General features: G+C 34.9%; 1 protein-coding gene across 10 annotated transcripts in view; it reads right to left on the reverse strand.

Annotated features, from left to right (window-relative positions):
- ORC4 (origin recognition complex subunit 4) overlaps nt 1-19,377 on the reverse strand; it is a 91,156-nt gene that overhangs the window by 17,931 nt on the left and 53,848 nt on the right. For 9 of the 10 annotated variants that reach the window (NM_181742.4, NM_001190881.3, NM_001190882.3 and 6 more), the window contains 4 exons: nt 10,465-10,540; nt 9,972-10,057; nt 7,021-7,069; nt 4,047-4,198 (listed from right to left, as the gene is read on the reverse strand). In NM_181742.4, the coding sequence (NP_859526.1) occupies nt 4,047-4,198; nt 7,021-7,069; nt 9,972-10,057; nt 10,465-10,540 (363 nt within the window). Of the gene's footprint in view, nt 1-4,046; nt 4,199-7,020; nt 7,070-9,971; nt 10,058-10,464; nt 10,541-11,915; nt 11,981-19,377 lie in introns of all 10 variants that reach the window. The other variant, NM_001374272.1, reaches the window with a different exon arrangement.

Here is a 19,377-nt window from a genome sequence, read left to right on the forward strand (position 1 = left end):
AGTAATGTTTAGTCTACAATACATAATTAAACATTTAAAACATTTTATGCAAACTAAATAATCCACCTCCAGGCATTTGCTGGCTTGGTGATGTCATGCCTTTTTCCCACCATGTTACTCTCAGCTAATCTGTAACATTCCAAGACCCAACATGACTGTTTAAAAAAACTGACAATATTGAATAGCTATATGTCACAATAACACCAAGAGTGTCAATAAGGAATTCTGTACATTCTATGAAGAACTGAGATTAAAAAATTAATAGCATGATAGGCAGCAGGAACCAACTTTAGGAGAGGAAAGTGGCAGAAATGCAACATGGCATTCGTAAGTTATCTTCCGGCTTTTTTTTTTTTATAGTAATGCTTTTAGACTCTATTTGTATTTGTGCTATTTTTCCTTAAAAAGAAATCAGGAATCAAATTTACTGTCAAAGAACACTAAAAACCAAAGGATAACTAATATGTACTGCTTGTAAGGACATACGAAGTGTTCTTAAATGAAGAAAATACTTCCACAAAACTGATAGGCATTCAAACTATCCAAGACATCAAAAGCACAATAGGTAAGCTGTCTTCCTAAGTCACATATATTGCAGGAACTGTCATTCCTAAATCTCTTTTTAATAATGAACTTGAGCAATTTTTCAAAATATATTATAGTACACAGCATATTATATATAATATATATAATTTATATTATATATGTATATATACATCTATATATATACAGTATAGTATAATATATATTTATTACTTAAGTTACACTCCAAGGTATACAACCAAGACAAATGAAACCAGATAACCACAAAAAAAGTGTATGTGAATGTTTGCAGCAGTATTATTTTTAATAGCTTAAGAAATATAAACAACCCAAATGTCCATCAACTGATGAATGGATAAACAAAGTGTGGTATATCTACACAACAGAATATTATTTGGTAATAAAAAGGAATAAAGGGCTGATATATGCTGTAACACAGATCAACTCTGAAAACATGTTAAAGAAGCCAGTCACACAAAACTATACGTTGTATGATTCAAAAATTACTAAACAGTCAGAAAGTGGATTAGCAGATTAGTGGTTGCATAGGGCTGGGGAGGGAACAGGGGATTTGGGGTGATCACTAAAAGGTACGTGGCTCTTAAACTGTGGTGATAAATGCACAACTCTATGAATAAACAAAAACCCTGTTAATTGTATAATTTAAATGAGTGAGTTGTATGGTATAAATTACATCTCAATAAAGCTGTTTTAAAAACAGTGACATGATATTTGATGACTTTAAGGAATTACAGCTAATATAACAATTATATTAGGGAAATATATTTTTAAAGAGCTCTTATCTCCTAAAAATACATTCTAAAATACTTACTGATAAAATGATATAATACCTAGTTTTTGCCTCAAAATAATACAGGAATGAAAGGAGATGTTGAGGATAAATAAAATTAGTCTGTAGTAATTGAATCTTGGCAATGAGTGGAGAAGGGAATTCAGGGCTCATTATTTATTCTTTCCTATGTATATTGTTGAAATGTTATAAAGATTTTTAAAAGGGGAGTAGTTTAAGCCCAGAAATATACATCTCCACATCTAGCCAGATGACTCTCATAATACCTACGTGAAGAAATCATGATATAGAGGAAAGAATTCAAGTGATCAAAATGGGATCATGGTTAGTTTGGGAAGGTGGACAGGAAAGACTAATAGCCTGAGGTAGGAGGTGGGAGGGTGAATAAAAAATTTTGAATGTTTTTATGAGGTCAAAGAAAAGTATAGTGCCAGCATGAGAACTAAAAGACAAGAAAGGTTATATTCAGAGATTCAGATATTGTACATTTATTTTCTATTAAGAAAGAGTTCTAGGTCACCCATATAGGTAGACAGTGGAAGTAATAATCTATACAAGCAACAATTCAGACCCTAAATTTGGGAATGAAAAGAGATGGAAGTAAATACTGTCTTTGTAGTAGGCAGTAATGACAGAAGTTGGCAATGTGGGCATACAGGAACTAGTAAAAACAAAACAAAACCAAAAAACAAAAATGGAATTACTCCCAATGGGGAAGAAGATGCTTGCTGGCAAAGTCACTACTCCCTCTATACTTTTGTTCTCTCCCTATAAACGTGGATACACAGATAAAATTATACTTGAGGCCAGGCGCAGTGGCTCACGCCTGTAATCCCAGCACTTTGGGAGGCCAAGGGGGGTAGATCACGAGGTCAGGAGTTCGAGAGCAGCCTGGGCAACATGGTGAAACCCCATCTCTACTAAACATACAAAAATTAGCCAGGCATGGCGGTGTGTGGCTGTAATCCCAGCTACTCGGGAGGCTAAGGCAGGAGAATTGCTTGAACCCCGAAGGTGGAGGTTGCAGTGAGCCGAGATTATGCCATTGTACTCCAGCCTGGGCGACAGAGCAAGACTCCATCTCAAAAAAAAAAAAAAAGAAAAAGAAAAAAAATTACACTTGAAAGAACTACACAGTTGGAGAATTATATATATACAATAAAAAAGAACATCTGATAACACTGCTAAGAAGTTACTGGCATTTTATTTGGTCCGTTATTGGGTCAACAACACTCACCACAGCCACTTCCACCCAAAGGAAGATTTTTTTTTTTTTGGCAAGAAGGAGGATGCTTCTTTGATCCTTGTCATCGCCTGCTGCTTTTGGCAAGGAGGAATAAAGATATGTGGAGCACCAGCCAGTGATGTATGAGGGATGTTTATACTAAAGCCATGTATCATAAGCTCTAGAGCACAGGAAAGGAGGGGCAAATGACAGTCACTCTATAGAGAAACAGCACTGGAAGGAGGACTGTTGAAATATGAATTAGAAAAAAGTTTCACTTTTCTGAAAAAGAAAAAGGGTTGTAGGAAAGGAGATGTGAACATGTAAATGTGCCTGACACATCTGCCGAGAATGGAGGGGGAAGAGGATTGCAAGAAAGCTATGGAGGCATGGCAGTCATAGCATGAGAAAAGAGACAACTTTGCTATGGTTTGGATATGGTTTGTCCCCACCAAATCTCATGTTGAAATTTAATTGCCAGTGCAACAGTGGGAAGTCACTGGAGTGGACCCTCATAAATAGATTTAATGCCTTCTTACTGGAGTGAGTTCTTGTTCTCATGGGGATAGATTAGTTCTTGAGACAGTGAGTTGTTATAAATTGAGGTTCCAACTCCTATCTGGTTCGTTTTTGCACATTTCGGTTCCCCATTTGACCTTCCACCATGTCATGCAGCATGAAAACCCTTGCAACAAAGCCAGTGCCATGCGCTTGAATTTTTCAGCCTGCAGAACTGTGAGATAAATAAACTTCTTTTCTTTAAAAATTACCAAGTCTCAGGTATTATGTTATAGCAACACAAAATGGGCCAAGGCACTCTTCAATACCAGTTTTATCTGAATTCAGTAAGTTAATACTACATGCGTGTAAGAAGGTAAACACAAAAAGGCCTGTACTGCTGTCCAAAGGTACACATGGTTCAATATGTACAGAGCCTTCACAAGGCAAAGTGATAGTGATATTGAGACTATAGTTAAAATCATTCTAAAATATCCCATGGAATGAAGAAGCCACTATCTACTGTCAGTGCTTGGTAGAATCTTTTCCATTTCTGGAGATGTGTACTTTGAAAGTTGGAATAGTATTACTTAGAGTTGATTTCAAGCCTTTTCAAAATATGGAAAAAAATCTTAAAATAAAAACTATTACCAAGTTTTCTCAAATATTGGTGAGATTTAACCGCCTCATTACTTGATAATGTAGAAATTATATTTATTAGCATAATCTGATTTCATACTTTTTTCTTCAGTAATTTCACTGGGAGGAGGGAGGTATTCATTAATGGGCTAAGGTAACTACTAAACTGTTTTCCTCAATTTGAGTTGAAAGCAGGATAAATACACCAGGCACTGCTGAAACAAAATTTTTAAAATGACCTAAATAAGTGAAAAAAACTAGCAGTGTCAGCAATTAAGCTTGAATTTTAAAATATTATAATCAATTTTTTTAATGAACAGAAAGACTTACCAATCTACATGTAAGACCAATAACTGCTATTGGGGTCTGTGCAGACTGAGAAATGTCAAAAAGATTATAGAGAAGTGTTTGGTTTTTATGATGAGCAAAAAGATCAAATTCATCTAATATGAAGATCACTGGGCAACTGCTAGTTCGGTCACCTAAGATAAAATAAGAGCATTACATTAATAAGAAATTATATCCACCTTTCCTAAATTTCCAAACCATTTACTATATTTCAGTTTTTAAAACTCAATTCTGTAAACATTCTGATAGCCTACTTTGGGTAGGGGATTTACTGATGCATATACGTTCATTCAACAGAAAAAAATTATTCAAAGGACAAACACAGCCCCGACTGCTCTCAAGAAGTTCAGTCTAGGCTGGGCGTGGTGGCTCATGCCTGTAATCCCAGCACTTTGGGAGGCTGAGGTGGGTGGATCACCTGAGGTCGGGAGTTCGAGACCAGCCTGACAAACATGGAGAAATCCCATCTCTACTAAAAATACAAAATTAGTCAGGTGTGGTGGCGCATGCCTGTAATCCCAGCTACTCGGGAGGCTGAGGCAGGAGAATTGCTTGAACCCAGGAGGCAGAGGTTGTGGTGAGCCAAGATCGTGCCACTGCACTCCAGCCTGGGCAACGAGAGTGAAACTCCATCTCAAAAAAAAAAAGTTCAGTCTAGGCCGGGCATGGTGACTCACGCTTGTAATCCCAGCACTTTGGGAGGCCGAGGTAGGTGGATCACCTAAGGTCAGGGGTTTGAGACCAGCCTGGCCAACATGGTAAAACCCCATCTCTGCTATTAAAAAAAAAAAAAAAAATTAGCTACTTGGGAGGCTGAGGCAGGAGAATCTCTTGAACTGCGGAGGCAGAGGTTGCAGTGAGCTGAGATCACACCATTGTATTCTAGCCTGGGCAACAAGAGTGAAACTCCATCTCCAAAAAATAAAAAGTGCAGTCTAGTTCCTAGACTCTAGTAGAGTTTGTTGTTGAAAAATGTCAAAAATCATTTAAATGACTAAAGACTATTATTTTTATAATTACGTAAATATAATTCTTATTTAATGATTATAAAATTGACAGAGTTTTCTATACCTACACAGAACCAAAACACTTTAAGATTAAAATATAAGGGGAGTCACTAATTAATGAACAAAACTAATGCTTTAAAAGAGAGTTGTTTATTTAGTAGAAATACAAGGTACATTTCTTGTAGAAATACTTTTTATAAACAAACTTGTAGATTATAAAGTTCAACTAAAGCCACTTAAACTCCCTTGAAGCACAACTTTTAGCATTTCAACTACAATGCTTTTCATGGGGAAAGTTCCACATCACCCTCTGGTTACATTTTTCTCACTTCAATAATGGAAACAACTTTAGTAAAAGAATCCCTTTTACCTTAGGCTTAACGCCTTTATATTTGTGTTAAAAAGTGAAACAAATATCTGATAAAAGAAAGACTTATTTCAACAAATAACAAATACAGTAGCCTAAATGACTTAATACTGGTACAAAACCAAAGGGATTACTCAAAAGTCTAGAAAGAGACTTATGTACTAATATAGAATTTTAGTATTTGATAAAATATTGCATTATACATCAGTGGGGAAAATTAGTCTATTCAAAGTCAGATCCCTACTTTACAGGTAAAATCAGAATAAATTCCAAACAAATTATAAATTACAAATATATATATATATTAAATAAAAAGATGGATCAATGAATGTTTTTATAATCTGAAGGAGAGAAAAAACTTTCTAGATAAACTTAACTATGTGGAAAACATAAAACTTTAGATCAGCAGAAAAGTCCAAACCAAACTTAAGGGAAGAGAAAAATAAAACACAAAAATTCCGATAAATAAGCATAACATAAACATTACCACAATAGGTCAAAGACCCAACAGGAAATACAGTCGTGTGTCCCTTAATGACAGAGATACGTTCTGAGAAATGTATTGTTAGGTGACTGCATCGTTGTACAAGCATCCTAACAGTGTACTTACCCAAGCCTAGATGGTATAGCCTACTAGACACCTAGGCTATATGGCATAGCCTATTGCTCCTAGGCTATGAACCTATGAGCATGTGATAGTGTAGACAACTGTAACACAATGCGAAGTATTTGTGTATCTAAACATATCTAAACACAGGAAAGGTACAGTAAAAATATGGTTTTATAATCTAATAGGACCACTGTCACATATGTGGTCTATCATTGAATTAAAGGTTGTTATGTGGCACATGACTGTACATAAACCAGGAAATTTCAAAGGTCAATAAAAATATGAAATGACAAGCATCACCACTATCAGAATTATGCAAATTAAGTAACCAGAATTATGCAAATTAAAGAACAAAATTATTCAAATTAAACTAAGAGCTGAAAGTTTTTCTATTATATGGGCAAACATAAAAATAATAATTGTTTTTGAGGTTGTGAAGAAAAAGGTATTATCAAATATTTTTACAAATTAAACCTTTAGGGTAGTTTTTAAATGTTAAAGATGGTGCCTTTTAACCCAGAATTCTACCCACAGAAATTTATCCCAGGAAATATCTGGATGATCATCAAAGTATCTCTTCTTAATTATAAAAAATTAGAAACAAAAGCCCATAATTGGTGATTAATAAATAGCACCTTATAAAACAAGAACCATAAAAATGATGATGCAGATCAAAATCTTATTACAAAATAGGTAAAATAATTTTATTGTTGTAAAAAATCACATTTATCTCTATCAATAATATACTGATATAAAGATCAGTATATCATTGAATAAAGATAAGAAACCAAATGCTAATTGAGATAATCACTGTTATAGTGGTGGGAATACAGTGAACATTGTATTCTTTTTAATGTTTCTGTATTTTATGAGAGCTTTTTTTTTTGGCAAAAGCTTGTATTACCTTTATAATCAGGGAAAAAATAAAGTTAAAACAGATCTTCTGAAACGGCTGAATATGTTAATATTTACCTTTTTTTAAAGCTTCCAGAAGAAATGAAAGGTTTTCAGCAAAGCTTCCCTGAACAACAAAATGAGATAAAATGATTAAAAGTTTAGTGAAATAAAGAACAAAAGATGGCTGTCTGATTCTCAAATTTTATATAAACACTGTATATCTTCTAGTTATTAGAGTCATTGCCCAGACTCTGCTGAGTGTCTCTATACTTCCTATCTAAAACTTAAATACTTAAGCAAAGATGGCACATCACTGAAAATGGCAATTACAATGTCATCTTTGAAATTTTATATTTTAGAACTTGAGGATAAAACGGTCAAAGAAGAAAAAGAAAAGTAAGAAATTTTATATTTTCCGGAAAAAATCTGAAAGAATGTTAAATTTATTTGAAGGTAGTTTTGTAGAATTGCCATATTCTAAATATAGTTTGAGACCTAGAAATGGATTCTACTTTGTGTCTTCAAACACAATGGGGTCTTGCAAGTCTCTAATTTGTACTGGTAAAGAAATAACCATGAATTTAAATGAGAAACAAAAAGAAAAGGCTTTTTTGAAACATTAGATACTATAACAGTGTTTGTCTATTCAAGAGTATACTGAAGAATTTATGTATATCATATCATGTTTGGCTATGTTTACTTGGAATATAGCCAAAACATTTTTGGATACTATTAAATATTCTTGATGAAACTTAGTGTAGTAGATGCATTATCCAGGTGCTCCAGATTGTGGGTAGAAGCCCCATTAAAATATTTGTTTCATTAAAATTATTAACTTTTACTTCATTCAGAGTTCATAACTAAAAGAAACAGCCAACTTTAAATTTGAGGAGATATAAAGGAGAAAAGAAACACACTTATTCACTCTCCAGTTGAGAGATCTAACATAAAAATAGCATAAAGGTTTTAAAACTTTCACATATTGTGATGTTGTTATGCTATTTCCAAGGCAGGCAGACCAAGAGGTGTTATCCATAATTTACCGTAATATAACAAATCCTCAAAGAGACAATCTGTTGGGAAATCAGTGGTCAGTTACTCAAAGGTAGCTTGTCTTTCAGGCTTTTTGCTTAAAAGATTATTACATCTGATACTAAGTATATGCTTCTATAAATACGTATTTGTGCATGTATAATATACATATATATGTCTGTTTATATCAAACCAGAAAAGCTGTGGGTTGAATTAAGTGACTTAGGTTCTTATAATGTCCAGGCTCTGCCATTTTATGACCTTCGGCAACCTAATTATGCTCTCTGAGCAGAAGCCAAATTTATATAATGAAGGAATTAAACTATTAATTTCTATAGCAGTATTTCTCTATTCAAGAGTACATTGAAGAATTTATGTATATCGTATCATGTTTGGCTATGCTTACTCGGAACACAGCCAAAACATTTTTGGGTACAACTTAAACTAATAATCTCTATATATGATAATAATAGCGAAGATTAGAACAGAATGATAAAAAATTGTCATTTTTATTATTTCACATAAAACCAATATGAATATGTAACATTTAAAAATGTCAGAAACACCTACCCAGATCAACTGGGAACCAAAAGCCAAACTGAGCATACTTAACAAGAACTGTCTTTGGCTCAGTATAGGCCACTAGCTTCAACATCACATTCTAAACAGGAGGTAGAATATTAGATTTATAGATGGGGCATTTTGAAACTGCACTTCAAAGACCTACAGACTTTGGAAGGGACAAATTTACTCAACCTTTTAGATTAGATTAACATTTTATATTAATATTTTTATAGATTAATATATTATATTAATAATTTAGATTATAATCTATAATTACATATAATAAACTATAATTATATATAATCTATTAGATAATTATATAGATATAACCTATTATAGAATTACATAGATTATATAATTATATAATTATATAATTAATAATTTTATAGAGTATATAATTATATAATTAATAATTTTATAGATTGATTATTAAAGAAAGAAACTCATAAATGCTAGGAGTCTTACACAACTATGGCGGTGTCATTGCAGCACAAAGCACACAGTTCAGAAATTAGAGCGATGCCACCGCATGGTCACCAGTAACCAGAAAATGAAGTTGGAATGTGTATAATCCACTCCAACTGCATAAGCAGTATGAGGCTAGGTAATTTCATCATGAAAATTCAGGTAGGTGCAAAATTAAATTATCATGTTTTCCTTAGGCCCTATATATTAGGTGAAAGGTAAAAGTTTAATACAAGTTTCAAAACATTTCAAGTCAGTTTCTTTTACTGATGTTGTTCACTGCCCTGAGACTATAAGATGATATGATAATGAAGTATGAATAAATTTCTGAAAACAGAATAACTGACATTTGTACAGCACATTACCATCCAGCAAATTATTTTTTAAGTTAAATGATGTGTAATGTTTTCTTTCTTCTTCAAAATAATCCTGTGAAGTATGGATAATAAAATAACGCCCAATTAACATGTAAAGAATCTGAATTCAGAGATACTTGTTAGCTCAGGATTATCAGGCAGTCAAAGGGTTGTAAGGCATGACTGAAACCCACCTATTGCAGCCTCAAATTTAGCACATTTTCTACTATACACAGGCTACTCAAGTCTCAAAAAAGTAGAAATAGGCTGCTGGAGCATGGTATTTTTAAAAATGTGTTAATCTATCTCCAGAGATACAGAATCAAAGTATTCACCTTACAGAAAATGAAATAAACTCAGAATATCTACATAAACTTGGGTTTCTTAGCTATTTTACAGCTACTATAACCTACTATGGAAAAATCCAAGTATTGTAGACTTAATGACTAAATGTATCCTATACATTACACATTTTTATGAAAGAATCTCATATATTTCAATTAAGAATTTCTGAACCTCTCCCTACCCTTCCAGAAATATAAAAATATACATGGTATAAAGACATTACCTTAAAAGTCTATTTAATAAAATAACTGAAATGATACTTACAAAAACTTTATCTCCAACTACATTTTCCAGATTTAACTGCCTTGTGATTTCCTTTAGGGCGATTTTGTCATTGATCTGCAGCAGTCCTAAAATAAAGTCCATTTAAAAGTATTTAATTAAAATTAAACATGTATTTGATACAGCAGGTTGTTTTCCAGTTAAGTAAATCTTCCCAGTCAAAGCCTGTGAGTTCATATCACTTTCTTCTTAAAACTTAGCAATAAAGACATTCGGTAGAATCAAAAAACAATCCTCCTTGGGATTAGAATGATTAAAAAAAAAAAAACCAAAAAACCCACAAAAACCAGAGTCCTTCTGCGACTCCTTCATTATTATTATTTTAATTTCTAAAAATACTGCATATGGTGTGCTAAGTAAAACATGGATCTAGTTTTCAAAATCTAACTATTAAAATGGATTTGAAATATACAAGTCATATAAAAACCCCACAAAGTTTACATAATCTCCAATGGCAAAATAATGGCATACTTACCATTTAAGTGAACTTGTAATACATTTTCACTCACTTCTTCTATTTCCATGAGTTCTTTCAAAGCATGATTTATTAACTAAATATGAAAAGTTTATGAAATAATAATAGGTAAAAGATAAAAATAAGTCCATATTCGTTTTTAAACTACAAGCAGTAAGAACAGAATATAAATAAATTGACCTCTTTAACAAGTAAGTTTTCAAATTCTTTACAGATAAAAGGTTTAACTAGAACATCTCATATCTGACTCTTTTTAAGAAACAAGAGCCAGGACTGATACAATATTCTCTCAATCACCTACCCGAACTTTTAATACAAATTTAGAAACAACCAAGTTTTAAAATAAATATTTCTCTACATGTCACATTAAACATGTGACATGGCCCTTATAAACTTCATGTCTCAGTTAGTACATTACACATCTCTCTGACAATTACTCTACTAAATATCATTGTAATCAGTTAAAAGCCCATTGAATTAAAGGTTTCTATGAAGCATACTTTTTTAAATAACATTGTATTGCTCTTGTACTGTGATATCATACATATCTCTTCATATTACCAATGCATTCTTTTTTTTAAAGAATTTGAAAATGAATGTAATTAAGAAAAGCCAAAAACCTATTTAAAGAGTAAAGATGGACTGTTCCTTCCAATATTAAAATATAGGTACTATCATAAATAAGTGAACTGGGAAAAGCAGTTGTATACACAAAATATTAATAGAGATGGCATCAAAACTTAGGACAAAAAGTATTACTCAACGAAGGCACTGGGACAACTGGTAAACTATTTTCCAAAACAAAATACTGTTTGTATTTGCAATATGCTACTTATTTGTCATTGCAACACCTTATCTAAAAAGAAAAAAGCAAATATGATCCTCATTTTAAATTACATATGTTTCATAACAAGACAACAAAAATAAAAAAAATTTCCTGTTATACCTGCATGGTTTTTAAAGCATAGGGAATTCCAGGTCCTCTGAAAAGGAGACAATCTCAAGATATCACCTGTCATACTACCAGTAATAGCCCAACTGAGAAGTGACATTTAATGAGAAGTGACATTTAATGAGAAGTAACATTAAAGGACTGCATAGAGGTACTTCTTCACCTCTGGATCAGGTCAGACACTATAATAAGAGTACATCCCTAGATGATACAGAGTTGGTCTCTCAAAACAGTGCTTTCAGCAAAAATTTTTTATTTTTTATTTTTTTTGCAATCCATGGTATTTTCTTTCTTCCATCTCTTGATATTTTGCTTAATATATTTTTTCCTAGGTTATGATTTTGTTTTAATTCATACAATGTTTTATGTTTTGATGAATTATTCAAAACCATTTCAAATCCTTTGCTAAAAGGAATGGGGATTTTAATAATACCTTCCATTTTATATATGCATAAGGAGAGTTGTAACAGATTTATAGCTTTCTTTCCACTCAACTTACTTTAAACACCAACTTATGCTTTGCTTGGATCAGCCCACTAATATTTTATGGGTTGTGTGTATGGTCTGAAATGATAAATATATTAGCAAGTGAGTCTTCAAATAATGTTAGTTCTAATCTGGGTATTGCTAAAATTTATTGTTTATGCAATCAACCATTTAAGTTAGCTTTTTTCTTGAATATGTTATCATTTCAAATATTTAAACTACATTATACACTAAAAATATTTAGTTGGTTATTAATATCACACTGACCAACATAACCAAATTTGGTCATCTCCTTTCCACATTCTTTGTGCCTAAAATTTAATTTTACAAACATACTAAGATAATTTTCTTAGACCTCCCAACATCCAGTAATTTTTATGCTCACCAACTTATACTATTCCCAAATATTATAATAAACACAGGTTTCACCAATATGCAACTAGGAGAAATATCCTATTTAACCATCTAGCAAATTTGTCTACAGTAAATTGCATGTGTAAGAGCATTTTCTAAGGGTCGGTACAGTGGGTCACACCTGTAATCTGAGTGCTTTGAGAGGCAGAGGCAGGAGGACTGCCTGAGCCCAGGAGGTTGAGGCTTTAGTGAGCTATGATTGAGCCGCTGGGCGCCAGCATGGGTGACAGAGAGCCTGTCTCTTAAAACAAAAAAAGGTATTTTCTAGGGGTCAATCTGTCACTTGAAGCCATATCAATTTTTTTTTTAAATAAAATGCTTGTAATATTATAAGCCACACTATTGCCTTTTTCAATTAACTATAGAGTTAGCATTTTTGTATTTCAGACAGTTTGGCCAAGTATAGTGTTTTAAATATACTATAATCTTAGGGTTAGGATTAGGGGTTAAAACAAACAAACATAAGACTACAGTCTTATGTTTTAAAATTTGAATTTATATAATTATACTAATGAGGCTAGGCACAGTGGCTCATGCCTGTAATCCCAGCACTTTGGAAGGCCAAGGTGGGTGGATCACTTGAGCACAGCAGTTCCAGACAAACCTGGTAAACATGGTGAAACCCCATCTCTACTAAACATAAAAAACTTAGCTGGGTGTGGTGGCACATGCCTGTCCCAGCTACTCGGGAGGCAAATGTGGGAGGATTGCTTGAGCCCGCGAGGCAGAGGTTGCAGTGAGTCTAGATCGTGCCACTGCACTCCAGCCTGGGCAACAGAGTGAGACTCTGTCAAAGAAAAAAAAAAAAAGAAAAGAAAAAGAAAAAAATTATACTATCGAGAGTTATTGTCTAAAAATAAATTATATCTGACAATTTATTCAATCTATATTTTCTCTCAGGATACTCCCACACATACAACAAATTACAAAAGTAGCACAAGTCAAACAATGCTCATCTCTTCAACCTGCCAGCATCAGAGTACATCAGGAATATATGAAACTATATCAAAATGGAATGCCATGCAAGGGACTCTTCCAGATTCCACTATAGTGAAAATAAATGACTGCAAGGCACCACAATAGGGCTCTGGTTTAAAAAGCAAAAAGTAGATAAACTGTCAGTGTGGCCAAGAATAACTGATCCATTTTATTAACTGATAAATACTATGATTTAATGCTTTTGCCTTTAAATTTCAGTACATTGATTAAACCTATAGGGGTTTATGAAAAGGTGCTATAACGTGGAAGGGAACAACAAGCAGATTAAAAAGATTAAGTTCAGATTTAAAATATTAAGCAAGATGGCTGATTAGAGACTCCTGGTGCTCGTACTCCCAACAAGAAAGGACCACAGCAATGAATGAACAGCTAAGATTTGACTGGCGTGTTGAAGGGAGAGTACTGGAGTGCAGCAGGGAAGGGGAAATGTGTAGTGACTGAAAATCCAGGAGGGTAGTGTGTAGGCACCTGGCCTCTGCAGCTACATCTCCTGCACCCCGATCAAATCTTCCCGTAGTCAGGAGGGACTTCCCGTTCTGGGGAAAAGGTAAGCAGAAGATCCCCACCAGTCCTCACCGCCATCACAAACACCTACAGTCCTTACCACAGGAGAATCCCATAGTCCTAGCAAGCCCTAAGTCAAGGTGGACAGCTGCTGGGAATTCAAGCAGTTGCATTGCTCCAGATCATGAGAATAAGGTATGCACTCTCCAACCCTCACCCACCTGTAGGCCAACCTGCCCTGCTGCAGCATGGCACCATTGAGGCCAGAGCCACCTCTGTTGTGCGCCCCGCTCTGTGGGCCAGTAGTCACTGCACCTTTCCAGTACTAGGGGTCCATCTTCATTCCACCAAGCCCACATAGGTGGCTGAACACACAACTCTAGCTGCACAGAGACTGAGCCTATAATTGGTTATGACTCTGGTCCTACACAGCAAGGAAACCAACCCCTTGCTGCCACACTTCCAGCCAGAGAACCAATCTGGCAGTCCCACCCAGGGCAAACTCTCACTTGAGGTGACCAAACCAGGGTGGGGCTCTCTCCCAAGAAGGAGAGGCCCCCGAGCATCCAAGCAGCTGATACACCCCTTGCACTGGCAGAGCGGCTATGCACCCACACTCAGAACCTGAGAAACAGCCCCACAATACCGTGCACCCCTCCCTCCCGCAGACATACCCCTAGCTTGCCCAGTGGTCCTGTGCCCACAATCAGAGCCTGAAAAATAGCCCAGAAGGTTACCCCTGGCAGGCATGCCCCCAGCCCAGCCGAGCAGCCATGAGCCATGACCTGTACCTGAGAAACAGCCCTATGGGCCACCCATGGTGAATACACCTCCCACAGGGTGGCCAAGCATCCCTGTGAACACATACTAGGCCTGAGAAGTAGCCCTTCAGGCCATTCTTGAGCCTGCCAAGCAGTCTTGTGCTCACCTCCCAAACCTGACAAACAGCACAGCCTCCCTATAACTCCATCAGACATGCCCCAGGACCAGCCAAGCAATCATGTGCCCACGTCGCTAACCTGAGAAGTACACTTGCCAACTGCCCCTAACAGACACATTACCCTAGCTGGCTGAGCAGCATTACACCTTAGGCCTACAAATCAGCCCTGAGGGTTGCCTCTGGCAGACACTCTTTTGGGCCAGTCGAGCAACCCTGCTCCTACTTCCCAGGTCTACAAAATGGTCCAGTGGGCCATCTGCTGCAGAAAAGTTCCCAGGCCAGCCAAGCAGCAGTGTCACAGGCCTGAGAAACAGCCTCACAGGACGCCTCTAGTGGGCATGCCCATAAGCCAGCTGAATAGCCTTGTGCCTGCATCCTAAACCTGAGAAACAATCCTGTGGAACCCCTCAGCAGATACGGCCCTAAGCCAGTCGAGGAACTGTATCCCTACACCTCTGTTGGGATCAAGCAGCCTTGCACCTGGATCCCAGGCATCTCCTGGGCCTGAGAAACAAACCAGTGAGTTGTTCCTGGCAAACATTCACCAAGACTGGCTAAGCAACCACATGACTATGCTCCTGGCCACATTAATAGCCCCATCTGCCAGTGTGTCAGATCCCAAGGTGATTGACCCACCATATGCATGCATATGCCCCCAAACTGAGAACCAGCCCAGCAAACCCACCCCTTGCAAAGCTGTACAACTGCCACCACAAACAACTCTCAGCCTAGGCCACTGAGACACTTGTAAATGACACTAGTGTGGATTACAGCTGAAAAAACTACACAAAGACCACACTACTGTATCCAACTAGAACCAAGGCCAATGAACCACATCAAACTGACACCTCGAGACACATTGACACAAATCAGTACTTCCTTACGAGATCAATTCTGTAAGATTGGAAAAGACAATTTTACTTTTCTACCTGAGGCGTATCAATCAACATAGGGACACATTAAACATAAAAAAGCAAGAAAACATGACACTTCCAAAGGAAAACAATAATTCCTCTAGTAACAGACAAGAATCATAAAGAAATACAGAAAATGCCAGAAGAATTTAAAATAATAATCTTGACAACACTCAGTGAAATTCAAAAGAATACAGATAGAAAATTGAACAAAATCAGAAAAACAACTTGTGATTCGAATAAGAAATTAACAGAGATACCATAAAAAAACAAACAGAAATCCTACAGCTGAAGAAGTTAATGAATGAAATAGAAAATACAACTGAGACCTTCAATAACAGACTACATCAAGCATAAGCATTTCTTAAATTGAAGACAAATTGTTTGAAATAACACAGGCAGACAAGAAAAAAAATAGAATGAAGAAAGTCTACAGGATTTATAAGACTTCAATAAGTGAACAAATATTTGTATTATTGTACTTTCAGGAGGAGAAAAGAAGGAAAAGGTGAGAAAAACATATTTAATAAAACCATAGTTGAAAACTTCCCAGTTCTTGAGAGAGGAATGGACATCCAAAGGAAGCTCAAAACTCCAAACAGACTCAACACAAACAGAAGGTCTTCTCTGAGGCATATTATAGTCAAATTGTTAAAAGTCACAGACAAATAATTAAAGCAGCAAAAGTAAAGTGTCAAGTCACTATAAGGGAATCCCTATTATACTAACAGTAGATTTCTTCTTCTTTATAGCAGATTTCTTTTTTTTAATTAAAAATTTTAAACTATCATTTTTTTAAATGATATTTTAAAACATCTTTCATCCTTCTTGTTTACATTTTAGCTGATTGTCAGAATATACAACAGCAGATTTCTTAAGAGAAACCTGACAGGACAGAGGGGAATGGGATGATACAATCAAAGCTCAGAATGAAAGAACTGTCAGCTAAGAATATAATACCCAGCAGCTTCAGAAATAAAGGAGAAATAAAATCTTTCACAGACAAGCAAAAACTAAAGCAATCCGTCATCACTAGACCAGACCTATAAGAAATGTTCAAGGGAGTCTAACATCCACAAATGCAAAGATGATGACCACCATCATGAAAACAGGGAAAACTATAAAACTCACTGGTACTGCGGATACATAAAGGAGAAAGAGAAAGGATCAAGCCTTATCACTACAGAGAGGCACCCAACTGGAAAAATAAATGAGAGGAAGTAAGAAACAAAGGATATATGAAACAACCAGAAAACAATCACTAAAATGACAGGGTAAGTCCTCACTTATCAATAATAATCTTGAATATAAACCAATTAAGTTTCCCATTTAAAAAATACAGAACAGATAAAAAAAAAAACTCAATTATATGCTGCTACAAGAAACTCACCTCACCTGTATAGACACACAGACTTAAAGGTATGAAAAAGATATCCTATGAAAATGGAAAATAAAAGTGATAAGAAAGTTGTAAAAACAAAGAACATTATATAATAATAAAAGGATCAATTCAACAACAGAATATAACAGTTGTACATATAAATGTACCCAACACTGAAACACTCAGATGTATAAAGCAAGTATTATTAGATCTAAAGAGAGATAAATTGCAATAAAATAATAGGAACTTCAACACCCTATTCTCAGCATTGGACAGATAATTTAGACAGAAAATCAACAAAGAGACATTGAATTTGAACTTCACCATAGACCAAATGGACCTAAAATACATCTATAGAACATTTCACCCAACAACTGCAGAATGTACATTCTTCTCATCAGCACACAGAAGATTCTCCAAGACTGACCTCATGTTAGGACACAACAGAAGTCTTAAAACATTTTTTTAAAAAAAGCAAAATCCTATCAAGTATCTGATCTGGCCACAATGGAATAAAACTAGATATCGATAATAAAAACAACTGGCTAGGTGTGGTAGCTCACACCTGTAACCCCAACACTTTGAGACGCCAAGGTGGGAGGATCCCTTGAGCCCAGGAGTTTGAGACCAGCCTGGGCAAAATAGGGAGACCTGGTCTATATTTTTTTTAAAAAGTAATAATAATGACAGGAACATTAAAAACTATACAAAAATATGGAAATTAGACAACATGCCCATGAACAATGGGCAAAAGAAATTAAGAATATTACAGATTCCTAGAAACAAAAGAAAATAGAAACACAACTTACTAAAACTTAAGGAACACACAGCAAAAGCAGAATTAAGAGGCAAGTTTATATCAATATATGCCTACATCAAAAAACTAGAAAAATTTCAAATAAAGAATCTAACAATGCAATCCAAAAAATTAGAAAAATTTTAAATTAAAAAATCTAACAATGTATTCCAAAGAGCTAGAAAAGAACAAACCAAACCCCAAATTAGTCAAAGGAAATAAATATCAGAGAAGGAATAAACAAAATTGAGACTAAAACAATACTACAAAAAATCACTGAAACAAAAGTTGCTTAGCTAGACTAAGAAAGACCAAAATAAATAAATGAGAAAAGAAAAAGGAGACATCAAACTGAATATCACAGAAATAAAAAGGATCATTAGGGACTACTATGAAGAACTATACATCAATAAATTACAAAACCTAAAGGAAATGGTTAAGTTCCTGGACACATACAACCTTTCAATATTGAAGCAAGAAGACACAGAAAACCTGGAGAGACCAATAACAAATAATGAGGTAGAATCAGGAATAAAAAGTCTTCCAACAAAGGAAAATCCAGTACTGGATGGCTTTGCTGCTGAATTCTACTAAACCCTTAAGGAATTAATGCCAATTCTTCTAAAACTATTCCAAAAAATTCAAGCAGAGAAAATTCTTCCTAATTCGTTCTATGAGGCCAGCATAACCCTGACATCAAAACTAGACAAGGACAAAACAGCAACAAAAACTACAGGTCAACATCTCTGATGAATATAGATGCAAAAGTCTTCAATAAAGTATTAGTAAGCTGAATGCAAAAAGATCATTCACCATGATCAAGTGGGATTTATCCCAGGGATGCAAGGATGGTTTAATATACGCAAATCAATAAACATCATACACCACATCAATAGAATGGAGGCCAGAAACTATATCATCTCAATGGATGCAGAAAAAAACACGTGATAAAATTCAACATCCCTTCATGATAGAAACTGTCAAAAAGGTATAGAAAAAAAACACCACAACACAGTAAAGGCCATATATGACAAACCCAAAACCAACATCACACCAAATGGGGAAAAACTAAAAGTTTCTCCTGTAAGAACTGGAACAATACAAGGATGTTCACTCTCCCCATTCTTATTCAATATAGTACTAGATGTTCAAGCCAAAGCAATGGGAAAGGAAGAAGTCAATTCATTCCTTTTTGCAGATGACATAATCTTATATATAGAAAAACCTAGAGACTCTACCAAAAAACTCTTAGAATTTCAGTAAAGTTGAAGGCTACAAAATCAATATACAATAACCAGTACTGTTTGTATATACTAACAACAAACTACCCGAAAAAAAAAAATCAAGAAGGCAATCCCATTTATAAGAGCTACCAAAAAAACGTAATTACTGAGGAATAAATTCAATTAAGGAGGTGAAAGGTACAGTTTTGTACAAGGAAAACTACAAAGCACTGAAGAAAGAAATTGAGGAGGATACACACAAATGAAAAGACACCCATACTCACATGATAGAAAGAATGAATAT

The sequence above is a fragment of the Homo sapiens genome, chromosome 2, assembly GCF_000001405.40.
Source record: "Homo sapiens chromosome 2, GRCh38.p14 Primary Assembly".
NCBI lineage: Eukaryota > Metazoa > Chordata > Mammalia > Primates > Hominidae > Homo > Homo sapiens.